Source organism: Homo sapiens, chromosome 18 (genome assembly GCF_000001405.40).
Source record: "Homo sapiens chromosome 18, GRCh38.p14 Primary Assembly".
NCBI classification, from domain to species: Eukaryota; Metazoa; Chordata; class Mammalia; order Primates; family Hominidae; genus Homo; species Homo sapiens.
The window spans coordinates 51,391,027-51,418,514 of record NC_000018.10 but is presented as its reverse complement, the minus strand read 5'-3'; the positions used below and the strand labels follow the sequence as shown (position 1 = coordinate 51,418,514).

Below are 27,488 nucleotides of genomic sequence, written 5' to 3'. Positions count from 1 at the left end.
AAGCTTCCTTATGTTGAGAAAGCAGGTCGCCGAAAAGAGGGTTTATCTTTTGTGGTGGAACGCAATTGGTTTGTACAGAGGCTTGAGGAGGCGATGTTTGATTTACATAGGGCCCAGGGGATTGCTTTGACCAGGTGTGCCATTTACATAGCCCACAAAAAGGCTGGCCCTCCCACCCTAGTCTTTTATTATGCAAATGCGGCCTCCACCTGGCAGAGGCCTTGATATCTGTACACGTGATTTTATCTGGAGGCTGCCATGACACCTGGCACATGTGATGACAAGGAAAAGAGGGCGGGAAACGCCATATTGAATGTACCTGACTTCCAGGTACAGCTGCTTCCATTTACATATAAAAGCTTCTAGTTTGCATGTCTATGCCTGACTTCTCAGGCTGCTTTCTGTTAGAGAAGAAATAGTTTGGGGGTTCCTTCTTTTTAAAGGAAAATTCCAGGGAGAACTTTCACCCTTTCTAGCGCCTAAAAATAATTTCTTAATAACTACTGTATTATAACTTCAAAATCTCTAGAGATATGGGGAGACAGACACTGGTTGGTTAATGACCAGCCAATGATATGAGTAACCCTAGTTGCAATCAGGTGTAATGGGTGGGGTGGAGAGAAGAAGGAAAGAACAAAGGGAGACAGGAAGTGAGGGAAAAAGGAAGAAAGGATGGAGATGACACAACACATGCCTGGCCAAGAGATGAAAGGAATGGTCAGATCCCAGAGAAAAGCATATGAGAAAAGCAGCCACCTCAAAACATGCCTAGTCCAGGCACCACCTAGTGTGACTGTCACAGGACTCCAGGCAGAAGCCATCACATATGCAAGAATCTAGAGCAAAGAGAACATGCCTCTGTTATTAGTCGTCAATGCTCTTTCATCCCTTTATTAGTTCTTCGTGTTATAATCTACTATTTCTCGCTACTCAATACTGAATGAAGTGCCCCTCCTCTGTTTGTGAGCTCCCTGGATTCACCTCATCCTATTATCCCGCACATCATCTAAAAATTGCTGTCTACACATCTATATTCCCTACTAGCATGTAAGTTATATAGAGAGCAGAGACTATGTCTATTTTGTTTATCCATCATCTCCCTGGCACTAACACAATATCTGACATGCAGCAGGCATTCAGTAAGCATTGTCCGAGTCATGAGTATCATTTACCTATATGCCTTTGTGCTTGAGGAATCATGAATATCTACACAATGGATATATGCATTTGCAAACATTTCATTCACTCTGTCTATTTCAGGAGGATTTTTTTTTGCTTTAGCTTCCTGAAATCCTTGGAGATTCTGAGCTCAAATATTAAAAGATAGCTACATAAATAAACATTTAAAATATACAATAAATTCTTGTCATCCTTGAATTATTCAAATGGCTTTGAGAATATTTCCACTGATATGATGATTATAATTGCCATTTCATTTTCATACTTTTTTTTTGAGACGGAGACTCGCTCTGTCACCAGGCTGGAGTGCAGTGGCACAATCTTGGCTATTGCAACCTCTGTCTCACGGGTTCAAGCGATTCTCCTGCCTCAGCCTCCTGAGTAGATGGGACTACAGGCATGCACCACCATGCCCAGCTAATTTTTGTATTTTTAGTAGAGACAGGGTTTCCCCATGTTGGCCAGGATGGTCTCTTGACCTCATGATCGGCCCACCTCAGCATCCCAATGTGCTGGGATTATAGGCGTGAGCCACCACACCTGGCCTTATAAACATGCACTATCTAATGACATTTTGGTCAACCAGGGACCGTGGCCCTAAAAAATTATAATGGAGCTAAAAAATTCCTACCACCTAGCGACATTGTAGCCATCGTAAAGTCATAGCACAATACATTACTCACATGTTTGTGGTGTAAATACACCTACTGCAGTGCCAGCCATTTAAAAGTGGAGCAGATACATTTATATACAGCACATAAAGCTTGATAATGTTAATAAATAACTATTACTGGTTTGTGTATTTACTATACTATACTATTGTTGTTAATTTAGAGCGTACTACTTCTATTTTTTTTTAATTACCTATAAAACAGCCTCAGACAGATCCTTCAGGAGTCATCCCAAAAGAAGACATTGTTATCATAGGAGATGACAGCTCCATGCGTGCTATTGCCCCTGAACACCTTCTAGTGGGACAAGATGTGAAAGTGAGAAACAATGATATTTTTAAAGTTTAAAAGTTAAAAAAAAAAAAAAAGAGCCAGGTGTGGTGGCTCACGCCTATAATCCCAGAACTTTGGGAGGCCAAGGCCGGTGAATCACTTGAGGTCAGGAGTTCGAGACCAGCCTGGCCAACATGGTGAAACCCCATCTCTACTAATAATACAAAAATTGACTGGACGTGGTGGCCTATGCCTGTAATCTCAGCTACTCAGGAGACTGAGGCAGGAGAATCACTTGAACCAAGGAGGCAGAAGTTGCAGTGAGCCGAGATCATGCCACTGCACTCCAGCCTGGATGACAAGGTGAGACTCCATCTCAAAAAAAAAAAAAAGTAGAAAATAATTGCTAAATAGAAAAAAAAACTTTTGGAATAAGAATATCAAGAAAGAAAGTAATTTTTACAGCTGTACAATGTGTTTGTGGGTACTTTTTTCTTCCATTAATTTATTTATTTATTTATTTATTTATTTATTATTTTTTATTTTTGAGACAGGTTCTCACTTTGTTGCCCAGGCTGGAGTGCAGCAGGACAATCATGGTTCACTGCAGCCTCGACCTCCCAGGCTGGAGTGATCCTCCCACCTCAGCCTCCTTAGTAGCTGGGACTACAGCTATGAGCCACCAGACCTGACTAATTTTTGTATTTTTTGTGGAGAAGGGGTCTTGCCACGTTGCCCAGGCTGGTCTCTAACTCCGGGGCTCAAGCAATCTGCCTGCCTCGGCCTCCAAAAGGTGTTTGTGTTTTAAGCTAAATGTTATTATAAAAGAGTCAAAAGTTAAAATTTAGAAGTTTGTAAAGTAAAAAAGTCACAGTAAGATAACTTGTTATTGAAAAAAGAAAAATATTTTTATAAGTCTAATGTAGCATAAGGCTACAGGGTTTATAAAGTCTGCAGTAGTGTCCAATAATGTCCTAGGTATTCACATTCACTCACTTCTCATTCACTGACTCACCTAGAGCAACTTCTAGTCCTTCAGGCTCCTTTCTTGATAGGTACCCCATACATGGGTACCATTTTTTTAAATCTTTTATATATTTTTACTGTATCTTTTCTGTTTTGATATACAAATACTTACCATCATGTTACGATTGCCTACAATATTCAATACAGTGACATGCTGTACAGGTTTGTAGCCTAGGAGCAATAGGCTATACCTTATAGGCTAGACACGTAGCAGGCTATGCCATCTAAGTTTGTGTAAGTACACGCTATGACGTTTGCACAACAGTGAAATCACCAAGCAATGCATTTCTCCTAACCTATCCCCATCATCAAGCAATGCATGACTATTTATTGCAATATCATTTTATTGCATATTTGTCATGACATTTTTATTTTAAAAAAGTATTTTCTGAAAATGTTTAAGATATTTTTAATCCTTTTAAAAGTGAATAGCTAACTTAGATCCTTTTGGATTTGTGACCTTTTGCAAACATCAGTTCATACTAAATAATGTTTATGGTACAAATTTAATATTACCTTTTTTCTGCAAAGACTACAATCACTCTACTTGAGAATCTTCTGCTGTTCTGTCTAACTCTTCTAATGCACCTTGCATCATATCTGATTAAATCTAATTGCTTTCACATTTCCCAACCATGTTATCTGAGAGTGATTGCAGGATCAAATTTTATATGAATTTCTTCAAAATATGCCAATTTATACTGGTGAAGAGATTATCAGACATAATCTCTGAATTATTCCCCAAAAATGTAATTATAATTGGCACAGTCGAGGCCACATCTCCTAGTAATGAATTCTAAGTATGTACAGTACCTGGAACAAAGATTCGTTCTGGATATTTCAGCCCAAAGTCTAGTTTGCCCATGTTGTTTTTGCAGCCACATCAACACCATTGCCTTACACTGCCCTCGTCAGTCTTTTAAATTAATGCCTGTTATCTAAAGAAGATTTTTTGATTCTTCAATTAAGTAAAAAAAAAAAGGTGTGCACTTTACAACAGGTGTAGAATCAATGAAATACTCATTTCGACCTTCTTGTTTTTGTCTTCTGATTCAAACATATGTACAACAAATGTTAGTTGTCTGACATTTTGTCCCTGCCACAATCTGATTGAACTGAGTAACACATACCTTTTAAATTTTTATGTGTGGCATTTTGTCTCACTTAATTACCTGTTAAATTAATCATTACGAATCAAATTCTCCATCCTAGAGAGTGATAATTTATTTTACAATTTCTTATCCATCTTACATGTTTGGCCATTCAAATTTTGAAATTATTTCTAGCAAACTTAGAAAATTTTCTTTTTTCAGTAAATATTGTGCCTCAGAAATCTTTGTCATGCTTTGTTTTGAAGAACATCATGCCAATGTTCTCGATCAGCACTGACTTGTCTGTGTGGAATACTATTGATTGTTCACTGTTTATTCAGCCTTTTTGTTCCATTGTAGTAATTGCATATGGGACTTTTTGTGTACAAGTGACATTTCACGACTGCAATTAAATCTTCATTCAGGGAAGAATATGAAGTTGCAAGTTTGCCAGGATTTCTTCTGATGTGTTCAAGTTACGAATGTGATTAGAAAAATGTTCTGACTCTCTTTCTTTTCTTTTTTTGACCAATAACTAAATCCTCATTAAATAAGCAATTTGCAATGCACTGTTTGCATATCTTATGTGGGTTATATTGAATAGAAATCTGCTCCTTTTCATTGTTTTCCACTTCTAAAAATTTAAGCACACTACTTCTTTGAAATTTTTCTTTTTTCAGCTTTTTTTTTAATTTTTCTGAGCTACATTTTTATACTGTCAGTTTTAATTTCTATCCAATCTCTATTTGCATTCATTCTCAATGACCTAGGAACTTCTGCCTCTCAAAGCCTCCCTGTAATATGACAGTGTTCATCTCTGATACACAGCCCCTAAACTTTGTGGTTGCCTTTTTTCCCCTAATGTACATCCTTTATAGTTTTTTTACATTTTATTGTGCTAAATATATATAACTTAAAATTTACAATTTTAACCATTTTTAAGTACCACATTTCAGCATTAAGTACATTTACAGGTTGTGCAAGCATCACCACTGTCTATTTCCAGAACTTTTTCGTCATCCCAACTGCAACTCTTTACCTGTTAAACAAGAACTCCTGGGCCGGACGCGGTGGTTCACACTTATAATCCTAGCTCTTTGGGAGGCTGAGGTGGGTGGATCACTTGAGGTCAGGAGTTTGAGCCGAGATCATGCCAATGCACCCCAGCCTGGGCGACAGATCAGGACTCCATCTCAAAAAACAAAAACAAAAACTCCCTACTTTCCCAGCCCCTGGAAACCACTGGTCTACTTTCTGTCTCTATGAATTTGATTACTCTAAGGATCTCATATAAGTGGAAAAATATAATATTTGCTTTTTGTGATTGGCTTGTTTCACTTAGCATAATGTCCTCAACGTTCATTTATGTTGTAGCATGTGTCAGAATTTCCTAATTTTTAAGGCTGAATGATATTCCATTGTATGTATTGTGTGAGTCCATTCACACTGTGATAAAAAGGAATACCTGATGCTGGGTAATCTATCAAGAAAAGAGGTTTATTTGGCTCACAGTTCTGCAGGCTGTACAAGCACGACACCCACATCTGCTCGGCTTCTGCTGAGGCCCAGGAAGATTTTAGTCATGGTGGAAGGGAAGGAGAGCTATTGTATCCCTGGCAAGAGGGGGAACAAGAGAGCAAGGAGAAAATGCCTAGGCTGTTTTAAACAATCAGATCTCGCATGAACTCATTACCACAGGGGATGCAGCAAGCCATTCGTGAGGGATCTGCCCCCGTGACACAAACACCTCCCATCAGGCCCACCTATGACACTGGGAATCACATTTCAACATGAGATTTGGAGGGGACAGATATCCAAACCATATTATGTATTTACCACATTTTGTTTGTCCATTCATCTATTGATGGACATTTGGGTTGTTTCCACATTTTAGTTACTGTGAATAATGCTGCTATGAACATTGGTGTGCAGGGCTCTATTTGAGTCCCTGATTTTAGTTTTTTGAGTTTATACCTAGGAACGAAATTTCTAGGTTATACAGTAATTCTATATTTAACTTCTTGAGAAACTTGTGGCTGCCACTTGCACCTAAATTTTCTTCTGCTCCTTTAATATTCAGTTGTTTTAAAAGGTGAAGTTCTTCAGAATATTTTTCTGGGTATTGTGTGTGGGACAGAGCTAACTACATTTTAATGTGAATGGATATTCAATTGTATCAGACTCATTTATTGTATAGTGTTTTTCTCCCGCTGCTTTGAAGCTCTAGTTTTGTAATACTCTAAATTGTCACATAAACATAGGTCTCTTTCTGGATTCCTACTTTTTCTATTGAGCCAATGTCCAGAGCTATACAAGAGCTCACATTGTGCTTTTTTCAAACTATTCTTAGTTTTTCTTGCACATTTTTTTCCTCTAGATGAACTTTAGACTCAAGTTTGTGAAATTCAGTTACAATTTTCTAGGAATGTTAATTAGAATTGTATTGATTGACAATTGAATAGGGAAGAAGCAACACTCACAATATCAAACTCTTGCATACAAAAACTTGGTATTTCCCTCCGTTAATTCAGATCAGCCTTTCCTTTCTCCACTAAAGATCTTCTGCATCCTCTTCACCTTATTTTTAAATTTTGTTGCTACTGTGAATGCGAAACAAGGATTTCTGTCTTTAAAATCATTCAGGAAAAGATCTATTTAATAATAGCAATATTATGCTTTAATCATTCCCATATTTTTAGACATTTAAGCTTTTTCAACTTTTGCTATTATAATTTAGAAAAAATGCTGCTATATATAAATCTTTGACTACATTATAGATTTTTTTCTTGGACTCTTTGGAATAGATTCTGCATATTTCTGGATCAGAGAGTAGGGACAATTTTAAGGTTCTTAAGACACATTCTTGATACATTGCTTTCCATTGCACTAAAAATCAAATTTAAACTCTTCCCCATTATCCCCACAGCCCTCCCTACACAGCTCTTGCCTCTCTCTCCAACATAATCTCTTGTCACTTTCTCCCCAGTCCACTGTGCTCCAGCCCCATTGGCCTTCTCTCTGTTTCTATAACACACCAAGCTTATTGCTGAAATTTTGATGGCTTAACACCATAAAAACTTATCCCCCACTCCTCCATCTTGCATCTACAGTATCTGGAACGTGTGGACTCCAAGACTGCTGCAGGCAGCAGAGGGGGCTGGAGGAAGCACCCTGGTTCTTAACTGCCTTGACCCAGATACCAAGATATCACATCTGCTCATAGTCCATTGACCAAAACCAGTCACATGACCCAGCCTCACTACAAAGAAGGGCTGGAAACATCAAGAAGACATGGAACATTTGGTGAGCACTGTCTGTCTCTGCCAAAATGCCTCCCAACCTCCCATTTGCCTTTGCCTTTCTATCGTTTCCCTGGAAGTCAAATAGTCTTTTATAGGATTATTAGCTATTAATAGCATGTATAATAACTACTGATATCTATTAATAGCATGTGTTCATGAATCACTTGCACATATCCTTTCCACAATTATTTATAGGAATTCTTATTTGTTCATTAGAGCTATTTATATATAAAAGCTATTTTAGGATTTCTTAATGATTTCATTTGTCATCCGTTCTAGTTTTTTTCTGTTTGATTTGCATTTAATGTTATGTATTTGGCTGGCATGGAGAAGTTTTTATTTTAAAATAATCTGTTTTCTATTCATTACATTTGACTAGCAATAATCAGATTTTTGTTGTTGTTGTTGCTTTTAAACCTGCTTTCTTATCAAAATACTACACATTCACCTATATCTTCTTATTCTTATGGTTAGACTTTTTACATTTTACTTTTCAATAAAAAATATAAAATTATTCGTTGCTAGCCAATGGAAAATATGAGGAACTCTCCCAGAACCTAAACATGAGATTACATAATGAACCAGAACACAGATATGCATCATTACCTTAGACAAATTGGCTACCAAGCTGAAGCTTTATTTAGCATGGAAGGTGTGGGGAATATGCTAAATAAAGGAGTATCAGAGAGATGCAGTCCAAGGAGAAAGTATCATAATCAAACCTATGTGGCAGATACATCCCTTTGGTAGAAACAGACACATCTGGCTATCATCAGCCACTAGAACATCCAACTCTCGTTCCAGTTTTGATTCTAGTTCTCAGTGTTCAATTATGAGTTGTCTTACCATGTTGCTTGCCAAATCTGGTCTGCTGTTTATGTTTGTAAATAAAAAATAAAGTTTTCTTTAAGCATAGCCACACCCATTCATTTATATTTTATATGGTTGCTTGCCTCTCCAACAACAGAGTTGGAGTAGTTATAACAAAAAGGCCAAATGGCCCACAAAACCTAAGATACTTACTATCTGGCCCTCTGCAGAACAAGCTTCCTGACTCCTGCCATAGTAAGTGGAAAAGGAACAAGATAAAAGGAACCTGGACCCTCTCTTTAACAAGACTTTAGAAATACACTTCTAAGCCAGCCATAGTGGTTCACACCTGTAATCCCAGCAGTTTGGATGGCCAAAGTAGGAGAATTGCTTGAGGTCAGGAGTTCAGACCAGCCTGGGCAACATAGCAAGAACCCCATCTCCATAAAAAATGTAAAAATTAGCTGGGCATGCTGGTGCAGGCCTGTAATCCTAGCTACTTGGAAGGCTGAAGGAGGATCACTTGAGCCCAGGCATTCAAACTATGATCACACCAATGCACTCCAGCCTGGGCTACAGAGCAAGACCCTGTTTCTGGGAGAAGAAAAAGGGAAAAAGAATAAAGGGTATTCAATTAGGAAAAGAGGAAGTCAAATTGTCCCTGTTTGCAGATGACATGATTGTATCTTTAGAAAACCCCATCGTCTCAGCCCCAAATCTCCTTAAACTGATAAGCAACTTCAGCAAAGTCTCAGGATACAAAATCAATGTGCAAAAATCACAAGCATTCCTATACACCAATAACAGACAAACAGAGAGTTAAATCATGACTGAACTCCCATTCACAATTGCTACAAACAGAATAAAATATCTAGGAATACAACTTACAAGAGATGTGAATGACCTCTTCAAGGAGAACTATAAACCACTGCTCAAGGAAATAAGAGAGGACACAAACAAATGGAAAAACATTCCATGCTCATGGATAGGAAGAATCAATATTGTGAAAATGGCCATACTGCCCAAGGTAACTTATAGATTCAATGCTATCCCCATCAAACTACCATTTACTTTCTTCACAGAATTGGAAAAAACTACTTTAAATTGCATGTGGAACCAAACAAGAGCCTGCATAGCCAAGACAACCCTAAGCAAAAAGAATAAAGCTGGAAGCATCACACTACCTGACTTCAAACTATACTACAAGTCTACAGTAACCAAAATAGCATGGTACTGGTACCAAAACAGATATATAGACCAATGGAACAGAAAAAGAGGCCTCAGAAATAACACCACACATCTACAACCATCTGATCTTTGACAAACCTGACAAAAACAAGAAATGGGGAAAGGATTCCCTATTTAATAAATGGTATTGGGAAAACTGGCTAGCCATATGCAGAAAGCTGAAACTGGTTCCCTTCCTTACACCTTATACAAAAATTAACTCAAGATGGATTAAAGACTTAAACAGAAGACCTAAAACCATCAAAACCCTAGAAGAAAACCTAGGCAATACCATTCAGGACATAGGCATGGGCATAGACTTCATGACTAAAACACCAAAAGCTATTGCAACAAAAGCCAAAATTGAAAAATGGGATCTAATTAATCTAAAGAGCTTCTGCACAGCAAAAGAAACTACCATCAGAGTGAACAGGCAACCTACAGAATGGGAGAAAATTTTTACAATCTACCCATCTGACAAAGAGCTAATATCCAGAATATACAAGGAACTTAAACAAATTTACAAGAAAAAAACAAACAACCCCATCAAAAAGTGGGCAAAGGATATGAACAGACATTTCTCAAAAGAAGATATTTATGCAGCCAACAAACATATGAAAAAATGCTCATCATCACTGGTCATTAGAGAAATGCAAATCAAAACTACAATGAGATACCATCTCATGCCAGTTAGAATGGTGTTTATTAAAAAGTCAGGAAACAACAGATGCTGAAGAGGATGTGGAGAAATAGGAACACTTTTACACTGTTGCTGGGAGTGTAAATTAGTTCGACCATTGTGGAAGACAGTGTGGCAATTCCTCAAGGATCTAGAACTAGAAATACCATTTGACCCAGCAATCCCACTACTGGGTATATACCCAAAGGATTATAAATCATTCTACCATAAAGACACATGCACGCATATGTTTATTGTGGCACTATTCACAATAGCAAAGACCTGGAACCAACTCAAATGCCCATCAATGATAAACTGGATAAAGAAAATGTGGCACATAATACACCATGGAATACTATGCAGCCATAAAGAAGGATGAGTTCATGTCCTTTGCAGGGACATGGATGAAGCTGGAAACCATCATTCTCAGCAAACTAACACAAGAACAGAAAACCAAACACCACAGGTTCTCACTCATAAGTGGGAGTTGAACAATGAGGACACAGGGAGGGGAACATCACACACCATGGCCTGTTGGGGGCTGGGGGGGTGCGGGGAGGGATAGCATTAGGAGAAATACCTAATGTAGCTGATGGGTTAATAGGTGCAGCAAACCACCATGGCACGTGTATACCTATGTAACAAACCTGCACGTTCTGCACATGTACCCCAGAACTTAAAGAATAATAAAAAAAGAAAAAAGAAAAAAAGAAAACAAAACATTTCTATCTTGTTTGTACCACTGGATTTTTGTGGTATCTTGCCATAATTAATCATCATGAAACAAATCCCTTCAGAATATATATACATCAGTCAGATTGGGATAGGCTATGTTGTACCCATCACAACGCTTAAAATCTTGTGTGCCTATAAGAAATAGGTTTATTTCTCACTCCTGCTATGTGTCTGTCCACTGTGAGTCAGCTGCTAGTTCTGTTCCACTTCTTCTCACTCCAGGACGAGTGAAGGGAACCCCCATCATTTGAACTATCATTGTCGCCCCAACAGGGAGAAGGAATATGGAAATCATGAGTTGTTTCTTAAAGCTTCCACCAGAAGTGACAGTTCTTACTTTTGCTCATGTTCTGCTGACCAACGTTAAGGTCTGTGCCGGAGCAGGTACGGTGAGGCCCTGCCCCACCTCACCTCAGCTGCTGGAGCTTCCCTGGAGCACAGTGCAGTTCCCAGCAAGCTGGCAGCTTCCACCTCAAATGCCTGCTTCTCTCTCCTATTCCCAGGGACTTTTCCCAACACCAGGGCTGGTTCCACTCACACAATCCAGAAATACAAGGATGATAATGCCACTGCAGCAACATTCAACAGCTGGAAGGTGGTAGTTGGTGATCAATGCCCCAGTATCCCACTTTTGTTTTTTTAATGACACAATTCTAAGGCAAAATTCACTTTATTTCTCTGAGTGGCCTCATTAGAATTGAGCACCAGTTGCCCATAGCTAGCTTTCCCTCATCCCTGTCTCACTTCCCCACTTTTTGTGTGTGTGTGTGTGTGTGTGTGTGTGTGTGTGATAGAGTTTTGCTCTTATCACCCAGACTGGAGTGCAATGGCGCAATCTCGGCTCACAGCAACCTCCACCTCCCAGGTTCAAGTGTTTCTCCTGCCTCAGCCTCCTGAGTAGCTGGGATTACAGGCAAGCACCACCACCACGCCCAGCTAATTTTTGTATTTTTAGTAGAGATGGAGTTTTACCACGTTGGCCAAGCTGGTCTCGAAGTCCTGACCTGCCCACCTCGGCCTCCCAAAGTGCTGGGATTACAGGTGTGACCACTTCCTCACTTTCGTTTCCTGAGATCACCTTCCACATATGCTATACTGCACCCAAGACTTTGTCTCAGGGTCCACCTTTACGGGAAATCAAATTAAGATAAATGGCCATGCCTAATTTAAAGGGAACAGGAAAAGCCATTTCAATAAGACTTCAGAATGACAATAGCTCTACTGACTCCCACAGCTTCCAGCACCTTCTAGGGTTAGTTCCCAAGAATCAGGGCCACACATTCCAATCACACTGGGCTTTGTCCTTTTGCCTTCGTTTTTTTGCTTCTATACCACTTGTCATATTCTCTGCCTGGATTATTCTTTCCTTCTTGTTTTTAATATCTGTAATCCAAGTTACTCCTTAATTTAAGACCCAACCAAATATTGCCTCCACACTGCTTTATCTGATCCTGCCATCTCTTACCCTATCCCCCAAAGAAGGAAAAAATTCTTCCCTCCTTTAAACACCTAATAGTCTTTTACACTTCTTACTTTCTATCTTGCAATGTAATTATGTTATGTTTTACCTACCCTCATCTATTGCAGTCTTATCAATGACAAGATTTTTTCTCAATCCATCTTTATCTTCCTCATTGCGTAAGAGTGCTAGTGCATAATAAATGCTGTTGGCCCATGATTGGCTAGGTGAGTGGCTGATTTTCTTCATTTGGGAATGTATTTATTCCACTCCTACTGAGCTAACCAAAACACATTTCCCATCAGAAGCTAATACAGAAGAAAGTTGGTTTATGTTTGTGTACAAAATCTGTGACAATTCATTGTAGCTCCCTCTTTTCTCACAATAAATGATTGATTGCAAGAGAAGTGAACTTAATTTTGTAGGGCATTTTCTATCTTCTGAAGTACATGCATATTTTTACTTAGCACCGTGTTATTCTGTTTAGGATGCTGTAGCAAAAAACACCATAAACCAGGTGGCTTATAAACAACAGAAATTTATTGCTCACAGTTCAGGAGGCCTGAAAGTCTAAGATCAAGGTTCTGGCAATTCGGCATCTGGTGAGGACTGTTTCCCTGCTTTGTAGATGGTGGTTTCTTGCTGTGTCCTCACATAGGGGATGGGATGAATGACTTCCTTTGGGGTACTGTCCTCATGACCCAGTCACCTCCCTATAACCCCACCTTACCCCACCTCTTAATAGCATCACCTTGGGGATTAGGTTCCAACAAATGAATTTTGGGGGCACACATTCAGCCCATAGCAAGAGCATTTGTGTTGTGTGTAAACTTTACTGAAAGCAGAAATGAGAGTGGTCTCACCTCTGTATACAATTTGGGGCTCCTAATACAAGAGACTTAAATAACAAGAAGACCCTGTCTTTTAACAATAATTGCACTTAATTTGAAATTAAATACAGCCTAGAAAACAAGCTGTCCTTGGACTCCATGGCAAGCCTCTCAGAAGTTTGGGATAAGCTTTGTGCCTGAAGAAGTGGCTGCAGCTATTGTTTTACACTTTTTAAAATGAAGGTGGTAGCTGCCAATGTAAAATCAACTGTGGGCCAGATAAATAGACCCACATATTTTGGACAGTTTCCTGCATTGTCTTGGTGATCTGACAGCCCCAGGCTCAAAGAACCCTGTTCATTTAACAAATATTGACTGGACTCCTGTTATATGCCAGGGCCTGTCCTAGGCCCTGGGAACATGACATTGAGCAACAGCATGGCCCCTGTCCTTAGAGAACGAACATTCCAGTGTGTGTGTTGTTAGGGGAAGCTGTCCTGACCTTACCATATATTAGCTATGTCATCGTGGGTAAGTCACTAGATCTATTTTAACCAACATTATTATTGCTGTTTATAAAGAGGATATAGCATCCAGCAGCCTCATCTTTCTGCAGTAGGATTCAGATGAGATCGTCTAGGTGAGTCCAGACTTAGCTATGATTGGGTATGGGTGCCCAGGTAGAATGAATACTTGAAGGGAAGCCATGATGGGTCCCTAAGGATTCATGGAGTTATTTGCATATCTTCTCCAATGTCAAGGGCAGGTAAGTCTCAGCTGGGCACACCAGGGAGAGAAGCAGCTGCCTCAGGAATCTGTGTCTGGAAGGAATTATACGAACATTTCCAAGGGAGAAAAAGAAAAGCATAAGAAACCTATAGTTGGTCCAAAGTAGGACTTGCCTTTTCCAAAGCCCAGCCCTTACTGGCAATTTAAAGAAAGCTGCCTTTTGGGAGAGATAGAAGATTGGGAATATGTGGTGGGAACTAGGACAAAGAGGTATGAGGAGATTCAGGGCAGATGCAGCATTTGGTTGTCTGTCTCCAGTGTATGTAAAAGGTTCCTTCCAGTTATTTTCTCAAGAGTTCACCTTAAGAAGAGCCACAGTGGATGGCCGGGCACGGTGACTCATGCCTGTAATCCCAGTACTTTGAAAGGCTGAGGAGGGCAGATCACTTGAGTCAGGAGTTTGAGACCAGCCTGGCCAACATGGTGCTACCCCGTCTCTACTAAAAATACAAAAATTAGCCAGGCATGGTGGTGCACGCTTATAGTCCCCAGCTACTTGGGAGGCTAAGGCAGGAGAATCGTTTCAACACAGGAGGCAGAGGCTGCAGTGAGCCAAGATCATGCCACTGCACTCCAGCCTGGGAGACAGAGTGAGACTCCATCTCAGGAAAAAAAAAAAAAAAAAAAATGGAGAGCCACAGTGGGGAATATGTTAATATGTTTAAAGTGCTGGTTTTACCTGAGGGAGGGAGATCAAGGAATATTTATCGTGGGTAGTTTCCAAAGCCACAGAAGAGATGTGTGCTCCAGAACCGTGTTTCTCAGACTTTTTTTTTCTTTTTCATTATTGTACCTCTACGAAGAAAAAAAAATATTTAAACTTTAAATTAATTAATAAATTTCAATTTGAAATTAAATTTCTCCCTAATGAGAGAAATTAAGTATTAAGGACTATGATTTTGTCAGGTAGCATTGAGCTACCTGACAAACCACAAACCATTGCAATATCCAAATTTCTGCAATCCCCTAAGAATCAATTTTCACCTCTTCAAGCACAATTTCACCCCTGTGGAAAATTGCAAAGGAATTCTTTAATAGATCGATGAAATATCCTGTAGGATACTCCCATTCACTTTTCCCAGGTCCCATGCTATCTGGTGGGCCAGGTGCCTTAATACAGCCCTGAACATGCGAAACTGAAGACAGGGCCCTCTGGGTGCAAAGGGTCTACCAAGATGCAATGTCCTGTGAGACTTGGCCTAAAATACCCACCTAATCTTAAACTAGGAAAAGAACAAAAGAGCAGCGAAGTTAGCAACCCAAAGGGCTTTCACAAAGCAATTTAAATGTAAATGCCAGATTGACTATTGGATATTTACTCAACACCTATTCCGTGCAACACACTGGGATAAGACATTATTTTGGGCTTGCTGATCTTAAACAATGTCAAATTTTCAGTGGTCATTTGCAGGGAATACATGAGGGAGCAGCACAAGCCTTGACTCAAAGGTGGGGACAGAACACTGCGGCCTTCACACAGGAGGCCCTTTCCGTCTTTATAGGCAGCCATCCAAACTGGATTCAGCAATCCATTTCTCCAAAACATCATACATGGCAACCCTGAATTAAAGACAGGCTTCAGAGAAAAAAATGTAGGGAGTTCCTCTCCCAGACTCATCTCTTTTCCAGAAAAGTCTAACAGGAAATTAATCAAAAGGTACAACAGATCTTATGAAATTTCTTTTGGAGCCTGAACATATACTATTCTGCGTAGCTGGGCTAGTAACATTCTGGTTTAGGGAACCAAATGTCCTCACTGATCACAATAATTTGTGTCTTCATATAAATTACTTCTGATCTGGAATGTTGTTTCTTCTTCTTTCTTAGTCTCCTGGTGAATTTTTATACTTTTGCCAAAGATCTGATACTCAGGAGAAATTAAAATCAACAGAGAAATTAATGGGCCTGATTCTTATGTAACTATGGAACTCTGTAGGACAATTCTTTCACAAAGAAAACTGGGCACCTTGAGAGTGTAATTAAAGGTAATTCGAATCTAAATGTGGGGCAGAGTTAAGAGGATCAGGACAGGTACTCAAATCAAGTCCCATGGTAGGGTGGGAAGAAAAGAGAGAGGAGGTAACCAGAGGGAAGGCAAGTTATCAACATGAATACGTAAGTTTGATTATGTGACCAAATTCACCTTAACCATATCAAGTCTTTACTTCACACCATTGGGCAAAACAAATTTTAAATTCATATGTAATTTTAAAAGTTCAGGAAACCAGACTTCAAAATTTATTCAATATGGATCTCAACTTCAAAATTTAAGGCTAAGTCAGGCAGTATTTCATTATCACAGTTGAGTACATGTCAGACGACAGATAGCATCTTCTGGTTGAGATTTCAACTGTATTTTATTTGATTAACTCGGCAGAAATATTAAGTCACACAGACTTGAGAGTTATTTAGCATCTGCAGCTAGCAGTTATTCAAAATGCCAAAGGGAAAACCATCAGATAGCTTTTCCAAATGAGCAGAACAAGCATATTGGGCTATTGTAGGTATTTGTATTTGGGAAAGTTCAAAAATGCAAATGAAGGAATGAATTCAAGCACATGTTTATGTATGACAAAGCTGTGTAGATTTATTTGCAAATTTTTGCAGGTCCATTTATGGAATTGAAGGAGAAATAAATGTGAGTTGACTGGCTTTTAACAACTATTAAACAATCAAGACCGAAGCATTTGGGTACACTCTGCTTTGCCTCCCCAGGCACCTTCTAATGCTGCCTAGCTTTCCTAAGCAAGAAACCTTGACATTATTTAATTTCATTGTTGGTGTTGCTTCCATAGTTCCATCAACATTATCATTCACATGGGAAAGAGAAATGGAAACGGTTAGATCAAATTCAGTTTTGTTATATGTATGCTTGGAGTCATAAACAACTAGGAAAGAATAATTTATCAGACACTTCAGCTGTTTTGACACAATACCAAGTGAAATGAATACTTGAAACAATTTGATTAGTGTAGAAATTCAGTCTGGATAATACTTGCATCAGGAAGTGTTTTTAAACTGAATATGTTCTGGTCTACTTGTTTCAAATCAACTAGACACTTTGCCAAATCTCTTCTTCACTTTGTGTTTTATGAACACACTGTTATTTAACATCACCTCTCCAGTTAGGTTCTACCCAAACTGGAAATGAGGTAAAAAGATAACAGCTGACATTTGCCAACAGTTATCAGTTTCGATTTGCAAGAAAAATCCTATGAACCATACTTTGTCATTTTGCCAAAACAACTGAATTTTAAGGAATTGTGTTTTTAAAGGTGATCTGTATAATGTATGTAATAAAATCAAAATTTTAATTTTATACATTTAATTTATAACTTAAAACATTTTTCTATATCTGAATGTACAAACTGGGGCAGGGGGAGTCCTTTATCAGACCTGTGCCTGCGTTTTTGATTGGGAAAATAGTTAATTCTCAATCATGATTATGTAGACAGTTCAGGAACTGCAGCATAAGAAATGTCAGTGCCTTGGATTATGGCAGTGGACAGAAGCCAAGGGTATTGCCAAACATCCCACAATGTACGAGACAACCCCCAACAACCAAGAATCATTAGGCTCAAAATGTCAATAGTGCCAAAGGCAAGAAACTCTGGATTATGGCAAAGAAAACCAAAAGGTTAGATTTTCTTCAGGAACAACTGTTAAGTTATGATTAGAAGGTAGAGAGAAAGATAAGCACTGAGCTGGGAGTTAAGAGGTATTTCTAGTCCTTTTTCTGTCAACACGCCAAACAAAAATTTAATGACTTAAAACTGAAAAATGATTAATTTAAGCAAGTTAAATATTTATAGGAGCCTCGGTTTTCTCCTACGTGAAATAAGGACCCCAAGCTTTACATTTTGTAAAAGCCTTTCAATTATGCCTTTCCATTAGGCCAGAACTTGATTTACTGAAGTATTTTACCATTTATAAAATTATTTTACATCCAGCATTTTATTTATTTAAATAAATAACATAAATATTAACACTTTGTGATCAATAACATTTGCATAATAAATTTAAATTGGGTTATCTAAAGGAAAATACAATCCTATCTGTGCTTGGGACCCTCCAAGAGACGAGTTGCCTCAACCCAACCTGCCCCCCAGACACCCCAGCCCACCAAGAGTTGGAGGCTACTTCCCTTCCCCTTCAATCTCAGTTGGTCTTGTGACTTGTTTTGGCCAATTAAATGAGTGCCAGTGCTGTGCCAGTCCCAGGTCCAGGCCTAAATAGGCCTGGCGGCTTCCACTTTTACATTCTCAGAGCCAGCTGTGATGCCATAAGAAATCCAGACTAGACTACTGAACTATCAGAGGGCCGTCTGAGAAAAGTCCCGGACAATGAGAGGCCACTTTGGATATGCCACCCCAGCTGAGCTCCCAACTGAGTGCAGCTGCAGTAGTGACCCAGTCAACATCATGCAAAGCAGAAGAACCACCAAGATACGCCCCACTCCTGGGCCCACAGAATGTCGCAATCATACATCGTTGTTTTAAGCCATTACGTTGGAATTTTGTGTTTCACATCAATAGATAACTGAAACAGAGCTTTGCTGGCAACTCAAAGAAATCCTCTTCAGCGTCATCTACACGTGACTTTATCTTCTCTGTCAGGGACAAAAGGCAGAGGCATGACTGTTCCCAGAATGTTCAGTGGCCTATCACTGCCTTTTATTTTTCCTAACCAGAAAGAATTTCTATTGCAACCAAGTTTCTTACTACCCCCTCCAACTAATCTGCTTAGCTTTGCTGAGAAAGTTAGTGTGATATTACTAGAGAACTCAGGGAATGATACGATGCTGGAACAGATCCCTGCTTTCCCAATTATAACACAAGCTGTACAGAGTTTTAGCTGCTGCTTCTAATGTGTGCAAAATTCAGTCACCTCGCTTCGATGTACTCAGTATAATCAACACAAAATGGCTGAGCCAAGCCTGGAAATTCTTATTTTTTTCCACATAAAATACAGGTGGCTAATTGTTCCAACACTCAAATCTCCAGACTATTTTTGACTTGGCTAATGCTGAAAAAGATCAAATGTGGGAAAAAAAGTGCAATAAGTTGCCAGATGCATTTTTGTCTTGATTCAGGTGTTTCTATGTAAAAGTATAAAACCCTGAGGATAGCTGGGCAGTGGGAGACCTTGAAGATGACTCCCAGGCCATACTTGCAGGCACCATGGTCTGCCTTTGATTTCCTGCTTCTCAGAGGAAAGCTTACAAGCCAGAGCACTGACCCAGTACCCTGAGCACAGAGAGGACAGGAGGAGCCTCACCCCTGCTAGGCTTTGCGCACTCCATCTCATTATTTCCTACCGGAAAGTTTTGGCAGGAGAATGCAAAAGTTGGAATTTTGGGAAAGGGAGTCTTTGGTCCAATCAAAAGTCTCAGAGTTAAATTAAAAAGCCGTGAGACTTCTTCTAGAGTCCATAAAGCCCCATCCTCAAGCATATAGAAAATCTAAATATAATCTTTGAACCAGCCCAGTGCTATCAGGTCCCACATCCCACCTCCCTATCCTTGCATCCTCTAAACATTTTCTCTCTCTGAACATTTTAATTACATTCAAACACAGTAAGATACACCTTCCGTTTTTATTGTAAAAACATCCCTTTGAATGTTGCCAACTGGCTTTCTAAAAATGTTATTTCAATTTGCACTGCTACCAGTTTTGCCAAAGCATGACAAAGACAGAAAATAATTATTTTAACAATTAAGGGTGGCTTAACAGATGAGAAATGATATTTGATTTTTTAATTAACCTTTTTTATATAGGAATATATACAGTGTTTGCTCATAGGAGTCATCTCAAAATCAAATTATTACCTAGACTATGAATATAGTCAGTAATTAAAACCAAAAGAAATCAAGATCTCAAAAATTTCCATAGCTTTTCATTTAATAATTCTTATACCTCATACAACTGGAAATTCATGCACATAAAATAACTAAAAGAAAAAAGTTATAAGGTCAAAGACAGCTGATTTATCCAGTGTAAAGTGATTTAGTAATGCAGTCAAAATTTGAAAATGCCATTCTTCCCTAAATTCTTTGACATGTGACAAGAATTTTAAATGGATTATTTTAGCTAGTAGGCAACTGCAAAAATACCAGGCAGAGATAAGGAAGCTGTGTGAGTATTTTTGGAATTCAAAATTGTGAGAGCAGATGAGATTACGCAAAAGATTACACAGATGGAAACTGGCCCAGGATTAAGCCAGCACTGACAATAACACAATGTGGACTGTCTTCTAAAAGAAGCTAAAAGAATAGAGAGGCCTAGAAACAGAGCTAGGAGAGAGTAGGGTCTTCCAAGTCTGAGAGAAAAGGATTTGGGAAAAGGTTGGGGGTAGGGGAAAATTGTCCAGCCTTAACAAGCAGAAAAGTGAAGGTATTTTCAGAAGAAAAGGATGTTTTTGAACTTGAATCTGAAGGGACTATGGATGATCTTCGACTTACAATGGGCTTACCTCCCAGGAAGCCCATCAATAGTGGAAAATATCAAGTTGGAAATGCATTTAATATATTTAACTTACTGAACATCACAGGTTAGCCTAGCCTATCTTAAAGATGCTCTGAACATTTATATTTGCCTACAGTTGGGCAAAATCACCTAACACAAAGCCTATTTCATAAAGTTGAATGTCTCATGTAATTCATTGAATGCAGTATACTGTAGAGTGCAGTATTAGTTGTTTACCCTGCTGATCGTGCAGCTGAATGGGAGCTGCGGCTCACTGCTGTTGCCTAGCATCATGAGAGAGCATCATTCTGCAAATCGCTGGCCCAGGAAAAGGTCAAAATTCAAAGTACAGTGTCTACTAAATACATATCACTTTAGCACTGTCATAAAGTCTAAAATTCATAAGTTAAACCACAGTAAGTTGGAGGCCCTCCAATCCTGCCCTCCAATAACTGTGTCACCTCTCACTTCTCACCATCAGCTGTAAGCTGATGGAGAATGCAGGACAATGCATTACTCCATCCTCAAATAATTAACAATGACTAGAAAACAAATCAAGGTCATTTCAAGGTCTTGGATCCAGAAAGAGACAGAGGACCGGGTCAGTGGACACCTTAGTGTTTGAGGAAGTTGTAAAGCAGGAATCAGGTGTGAATGCAGAGAGGAGGGAGGCAGAGGGCAAGAGTTAGCTGATCTCTAGACAGGGGACTCGAGGCCAGAATTCTGGTCCTGCCCTCCTGGTTCCTGCCCTAGCCATGTTGGGCAAGTCACAGACCTTCTGGAGGACCAGAAAGGAAACAATCTCTAATGTCATTCCTAGTTCCAAAGATCTATGTCCTAAGGACAGAAGATTTGTGGTGGGAGGAGAGCTGGGGTGGGGGGAAGCTGTGCAAAGAAATATATAAGCTTGTGAATTAACCCCCTTCCTTTTTTAAAATAAAAGACAATATATAATAATTTAGAAATTTTAATTTTGTTAGAAAGCAATAAGAAATGGTAGGGGACAAGAAAACAAACAATGAAGAAAAGAAAAAGAAAAGAAATGGTAGGGGACAGAAAAGATATTTGTATTCATGGGCCATGCCTCCAGAGTTCAAACTCTGGTCATCCTGATATGGAGTCTAGTTTTAATATAAGGAACCAGGATAGTGCTTGAAAAGGAAATATCACTATTACCTGATTTTTCAAAAGATACTCAAGTCTAAGTTTTGGCAAAAGGTAGTTGTTAGTTTATATAGTTTAAAACATTAGTAATAGCACATTTTCTTGTCTATATCTTTCTGAGACAGGTTAATTTTCATTTCAGGGACATGTACTGATGTTGGGAGATGGTTCTCCATGGGCTTTTTGCATTCCTGCACATTCTTGCTGGATGTGCCAGAAATGCAAGGTTCTTTATTGGGGCCATTTTGCAGGGGTGCATTTGCAATGTGCACCTTGAGAGCTGAGGGAAAGGCTGGGCGCTGTGGCTCATGCCTGTAATCCCAACACTTGGGGAGGCCAAAGTAGGCAGATCACTTGAGGTCAGGAGTTCAAAACCAGCCTGGCCAACAGGGTGAAACTCCGTCTCTACCAAAAAATACAAAAAAAAATTAGCTGGGTGCGGTGGTGTGGCCACCTGTAATCCCAGCCACTCAGGAGGCTGAGGCACGAGAATCGCTTGAACCCAGGAGGCGGAGGTTGCAGTGAGCCGAGATCGCACCACTGCACTCCAGCCAGGGTGACAGAGTGAGACCGTGTCTCAAAAAAAAAAAAAAAAAAAAACAGAGCTGAGGGAAAAGAGCAAGTAAGCCACTGCCTGCTATAGAATGGCTGGTTCTCCACCCTCATTGTTTTTTATGACATGACCCACTGCATGTGTAGGTATCTATGCAGGACCTAATTCTTACCCTTGTGGGAACTGGGGTTCAGGGGGAAAAGCACAAATTCTGATACTCTGGCTACTGCTTTTGCTGTGAGTAATAAAGTCATCTCTGGGGAAAAAAAGAGAAGAATTTAAATTGCCACTCAAAATGCCCATGACAGTCACAATAGTTATAAATGTACTCCCTTCTTTCATGTCTGCACATCTGAGGTTCTACATACAAGGATGATGCTATTAAAGAGAGCTGAAATGTAACTGGTCCCCAAACAAGGTGTCAGTAATAAAGTTTTATTGGAACACAGCCATGCCCATTCATCATGCCCATTGTCTATGGCTGCTGTCCTGCTGAAAGGCGAAGCTGAAGCACTGGGATGGAAGCAGTATGACCACAAATCTGGAAATATTTACTACATGGCCCTTTTCACAACAGTTTACCAAGCCCTGCTCTAAAGCAATGGTTCTAGATCCTGATCACACACTGGAATCACTTGTGGAGTTTTAAAAAAAAATACTAATGCCGATATCCTACCCCCAGAGATTGTATTCAATTGGTCTAAAGAATACAATTGCATAATTGATAAATGAACTTCGGCATGTGGGTTTGTAAGAGTTGCTTCCATCCTGTGATTATAATGTGTGGCCGGAGTTGACAAGTTTTTGCCAAGGTTCCCTGAGCAAGACCCTACCAGAGCAGGGGCTACATCTTCAGAAGGCAACATACTCACAACTTATCTTAGTTCCCCTGCAGAAACTAATCAAAAGCTAATATTGGTATTCGAGTTTCTGTTTTCCCAGAGAAATTGTTTCACAAGTGTCCACCTAAAGAGTATTTCTCTGTCTTCTGAACAACCAAAGCCAGGCATTGACGGTTCTCTTTCTCAATGGCCCTGATGAAAGAATACATTTAATAAAGTCCTTCTAAAATTCAGTGTCAAGAGGAAAAAAATAACTCTTCAGGTAAATTTGTAAACAACCTTTTACCCAGCAACTAGAGCTACAAACACCTAAGTCCTTCATCCTTTACATTGGAACTATAATCTGTCCAGATGGCAGGTATATCTGTTTCTTTGATCCATTTATTATTTATTATTTGTCTTATTTTTAATTGCTCTGTTTTTCTCAATTATTAATTATGCAGATCCTTTTTAAAGGCAAATATTAGTAAATACAGATGTATATGCTTACTTCATAAAAACAATATAGTGTTTTTAAACATGTCTGCTGATGTTTTGACACTTTCACTGTCAAGAGTGGGATGTGTGTCCCTTCCCCTTGAATCTGTGCCAACTGTCATGACTGGTCAACCAATAGAGTACTGTATAGTGATGCTACATGGCTTCCAAGGGCCAACTGCAAAGGACAAAGCCATTTCCACCCAGCTCACTGGAAACACGCTGGAACCCTGAGCCCCTGTCTTAGTCTGCTCAGGCTGCTATAACAAAATACCATAAACAGCACGGCTTAGAAACAACAGAAACTTATTTCTCACAGCTCTAGAGGCTGGGGGGTCCAAGATGAAGGCACCAGCAGATTTGGTGTCTGGTTCATAGACGACATCCTCCCATTGTATCCTCACATGGTAGAAGGGACATGTGAGCTCTCTCTGGGACCTCTTCTAAAGGCACTTATCCCACTCAAGAGGGCTCCACCCTCATGACTTATCACCTCCTAAAGAGCCCACCTTTTAATAGCATCACCTTGGGAGTTAGGATTTTAACATGTGAATTTTGGAAGGACACAAATGTTCAGTCCTTACCAGCCACCATGTAAAGTCCTACCACCCTGAGGACACCATGCTGCAAGGAAACCCAAACCACCCCATGCAGAGAAATGACACAGGGTGGGCCTGAGATAACACAAAGATAAAAACTCCCTGCCAGTCCCCAGATAATCTAGGTTCCGGCTTTTCTAGCTCCAGCCCCATCTGACGACCACCACATTGGAGACCCTAAGCTAGAAGCACCCAGCCATATCCTCCCAAATTCCTGACCCACAGAGACCAGGAGAGATCATAAATGTATTGTTGTTGTTTGATGTCACTATATTTTGGGACAGTTTGTTAGGCTGCAATAAATAACAATACATATATCCATAATAATAGTAACATGCATAACAATCTCCAACAAAGAAGATTTCATGCCTCCGCTTCTCAGTCTCCCTGTAGCCTATCCTATTGTCAGAAAATATTAGTTAGTGACAAAGTTCATCCATTCCAGAAAGAATCAATAGTAGATACTAAAATCATTAGGTGAAAGGTTAATGGAAAACTCAATAGTATCACCCATAGCTTATTTTCTTATCACAAAAGGAGATGCCTTCCTTTACAATAGAGGGATCTGGCAGTCATCACCTTGAACAGAGTAACCAACACAGTATCACAAATAGTGGGACAGTCATCCAGACATTAAGTGCCTCCTGCTGTGATGCAATATGAAATACACAGCATAACCACCTCTGAGCTATTATCACCAAAAATGTAGTGGATAAATTACCCTTGGATCAAGTGACCATCCCTGTACTACAAGAGGTGGCTGAGGAAGAGAGTTGGCTTGAAATGTAACTTACATTGTATAGGAATTACTGGGAAGAGAGAAACAAGATAAACAGGACTGTGAGGAAACTATCAGACAGATCTAGGATGTAGGACAGTCTGCCAAATATCTGGCCTAATTTCTTCCTTTAAAATAAAGAGGAAGACACTTCTAGATTAGGAGAGACTTGAAGGACAAAATTTAACAATTCAATGCCGTGCCATCTTTATATCAAGGTGTGAAAAGAAGCATCTATAAAAGACATTTTGAGGAAAATTGGGACTATTTAAATGAGTCCCAATTTTTCTTCTTTTTATGCTTGTCACATAAAACACAATTGGCACTATTTTCTTAATAGTTAGGTTATTAATGACATTAAGAAAATACTGCCAATTGTGTTTTATGTGACAACGGTATTGTGGTCATGTAGGAACACACCTCTTTTAGAGATGCATACTGAAGTACTTAGGGGAAATATATTACAATATCTGTAGTTTACTTTAAAATAATCCAACAACAGAAAAGAAATACGGAGATAGAGCAAATAGGGAAAAATGTTAATAAGTGTTAAATCTAGGTGGTAGATTGATGGATACCTATTCTACTATTCTTTCTACTGGTCTCAATATTTGAAAATTTTCATGAAAAAAGTATTAAAAGCTTAAAAGTGTATTGAAAGCAATGTTTTTTATTGTTTTGTTTTGTTTTTTGGTTTTTTTTGAGATGGATTCTCGCCCTGTCGCCCAGGCTGGAGTGCAGTGGCGCCGAACTCGGCTCACTGCAAGCTCCGCCTCCCAGGTTCACCCCATTCTCTTGCCTCAGCCTCCGGAGTAGCGGGGACTACAGGCGCCCACCACCACGCCCAGCTAATTTTTTGTATTTTTAGTAGAGACGGGGTTTCACTTTGTTAGCCAGGATGGTCTCGATCTCCTGACCTCGTGATCCGCCCACCTGGGCCTCCCAAAGTGCTGGGATTACAGGCATGAGCCACCACTCCCAGCCAAAAGCAGTATTTTTTTAAAACACTCATCATCCAGCTATTCTAACTCAGGTGACTAATACTACAATTAAATATACATTCTTCAGGAACCCCCACACCAAAAACAAACTGTCAAACAAACAAAAAAAAAAACCCAGCTGATAACCATTCCCCCAGTGCCACCTATTTTATAGAGGATAATTTTGTTGAAAGGAGCAGAGACCCCACACACACGCATTCCCTCAAGCCTGGTAAAGATAAGTGGGGTTTATTACTAAGCTCAAATGATCTCATGAGGAGTCAAGAACAGGAGTAGAGGAGACCCAGAATTAAGGAACAAGAAGTTACCTCATGAGAGTTCGAATAGAGAGTGTTTCTAGAATCAGTGCAGTTGCAGGAACAGATATTCTTGCTTTCCCTCGGCCAGAAGAATCATTCTCTTTCTCTCCCAGACTCATCTTCTTTCTCTCCATCCTCAGTGTGTTGACTTCTCATTGCCATCACAGCTTCCCCGACCCTGACTCAGCTCGCAAGACGTTTCAGCTACAATACCCATATCCAATTGGCAGCTTTCTTTTGTGTTTCTTCATTTCTATTCACCCAAGCAAGACCCTGATTGGCTCAGCTTATCTCTGTGCTGGTACGGTAAGTCCAATCAGCTGCTATGGTTAAGTCCAATCAGCTGTGGCCAGGGAGAAACTGAATCAAGTGATAAAAAGAACAGCAGCTGAGACAACAAGGGCTTTCTGTGAGTAAGTTCCCCCTCTGAGGGGACTGTGGGCAGGGAAGACAATAGCATCCTAAAACAATCTCTATCCTGTCTTATAGAGAGCATTCTGAGCTGCAGGGCGATTTTTGCAAGGATGTGAAGAAGAAATTCCTGGGTTTCTACATCTCTGCACAGGACCATTGTATCCCATGAGATCATTGTCTAGCTGATTAGTATAAAGCAGTGATTATCTCAGAACACAACATTTACCTATGATTTTTCTCTGAACTGAACACATACCTGAAAATAGATGAAGCAAGATGACCAATCCTCTGTCTGGGTTTGAGCAATACAAAACAATCACAGACTTTCATTGAGATCTAATAGTACCCTTTCTTTATTTAGCCAGTAAACATACATTGAGTGAATGTCTGCTGTGTGTGTCACACTTTACTAGGGGAAATGCAGGTACACACAAAGAAGGAGAAGGCAAAGCCTCTGTGGGTAAGAATATTACACTACTGTTGAGTGAAATGATATACACACTCCAGAAAACACAAATAACAAAAGTAATTGCATCAGAGGAGAGCTGTCATAGCTCAATGTATGCTAAGTGTAAAGTGGATGCTACGAGGAAAGCTGGAAAATTCAGATAAAAAGCTTTCTGGAAGGAGATTGGCCTTGGAGGACGGTAAGTAATTTTAAAGAATGTACTTCATGGTAGAGAAAACAATAAGATCGAATGCAAGAAATGTGTCAGGCAAGTCTTGAAAAACAGATCACAGGCAAACCTGATTAAAGAGGATTGTATTGAAGACAAGTGGACGGTCATTTTGAAAAGGGGGATATGGGGACCAGGTGGTGAAGGAA

The 27,488-nt window shown here is 39.6% G+C and overlaps 1 long non-coding RNA gene across 2 annotated transcripts in view, besides 1 other annotated feature; it reads right to left on the bottom strand.

Annotated features, from left to right (window-relative positions):
* The window catches only part of LINC01630 (long intergenic non-protein coding RNA 1630), a 170,428-nt gene extending 143,955 nt beyond the window's left edge, over positions 1-26,473 (bottom strand). For both annotated transcript variants that reach the window (NR_040074.1, NR_040075.1), the window contains exon 1: positions 26,258-26,473. This is a non-coding gene — a long non-coding RNA (long intergenic non-protein coding RNA 1630). The remainder of the gene's footprint in view (positions 1-26,257) is intronic.
* Positions 433-980: an enhancer, noted in NCBI's record as "OCT4-NANOG-H3K27ac hESC enhancer chr18:48943905-48944452 (GRCh37/hg19 assembly coordinates)". NCBI's record gives its function as "activates a minimal SCP1, AML or CMV promoter by ChIP-STARR-seq in primed H9 embryonic stem cells {active_cell/tissue: H9 hESC(primed)}" and the evidence as "EXISTENCE:reporter gene assay evidence [ECO:0000049][PMID:30033119]".
* Positions 26,474-27,488: the final 1,015 nt, after the last annotated feature.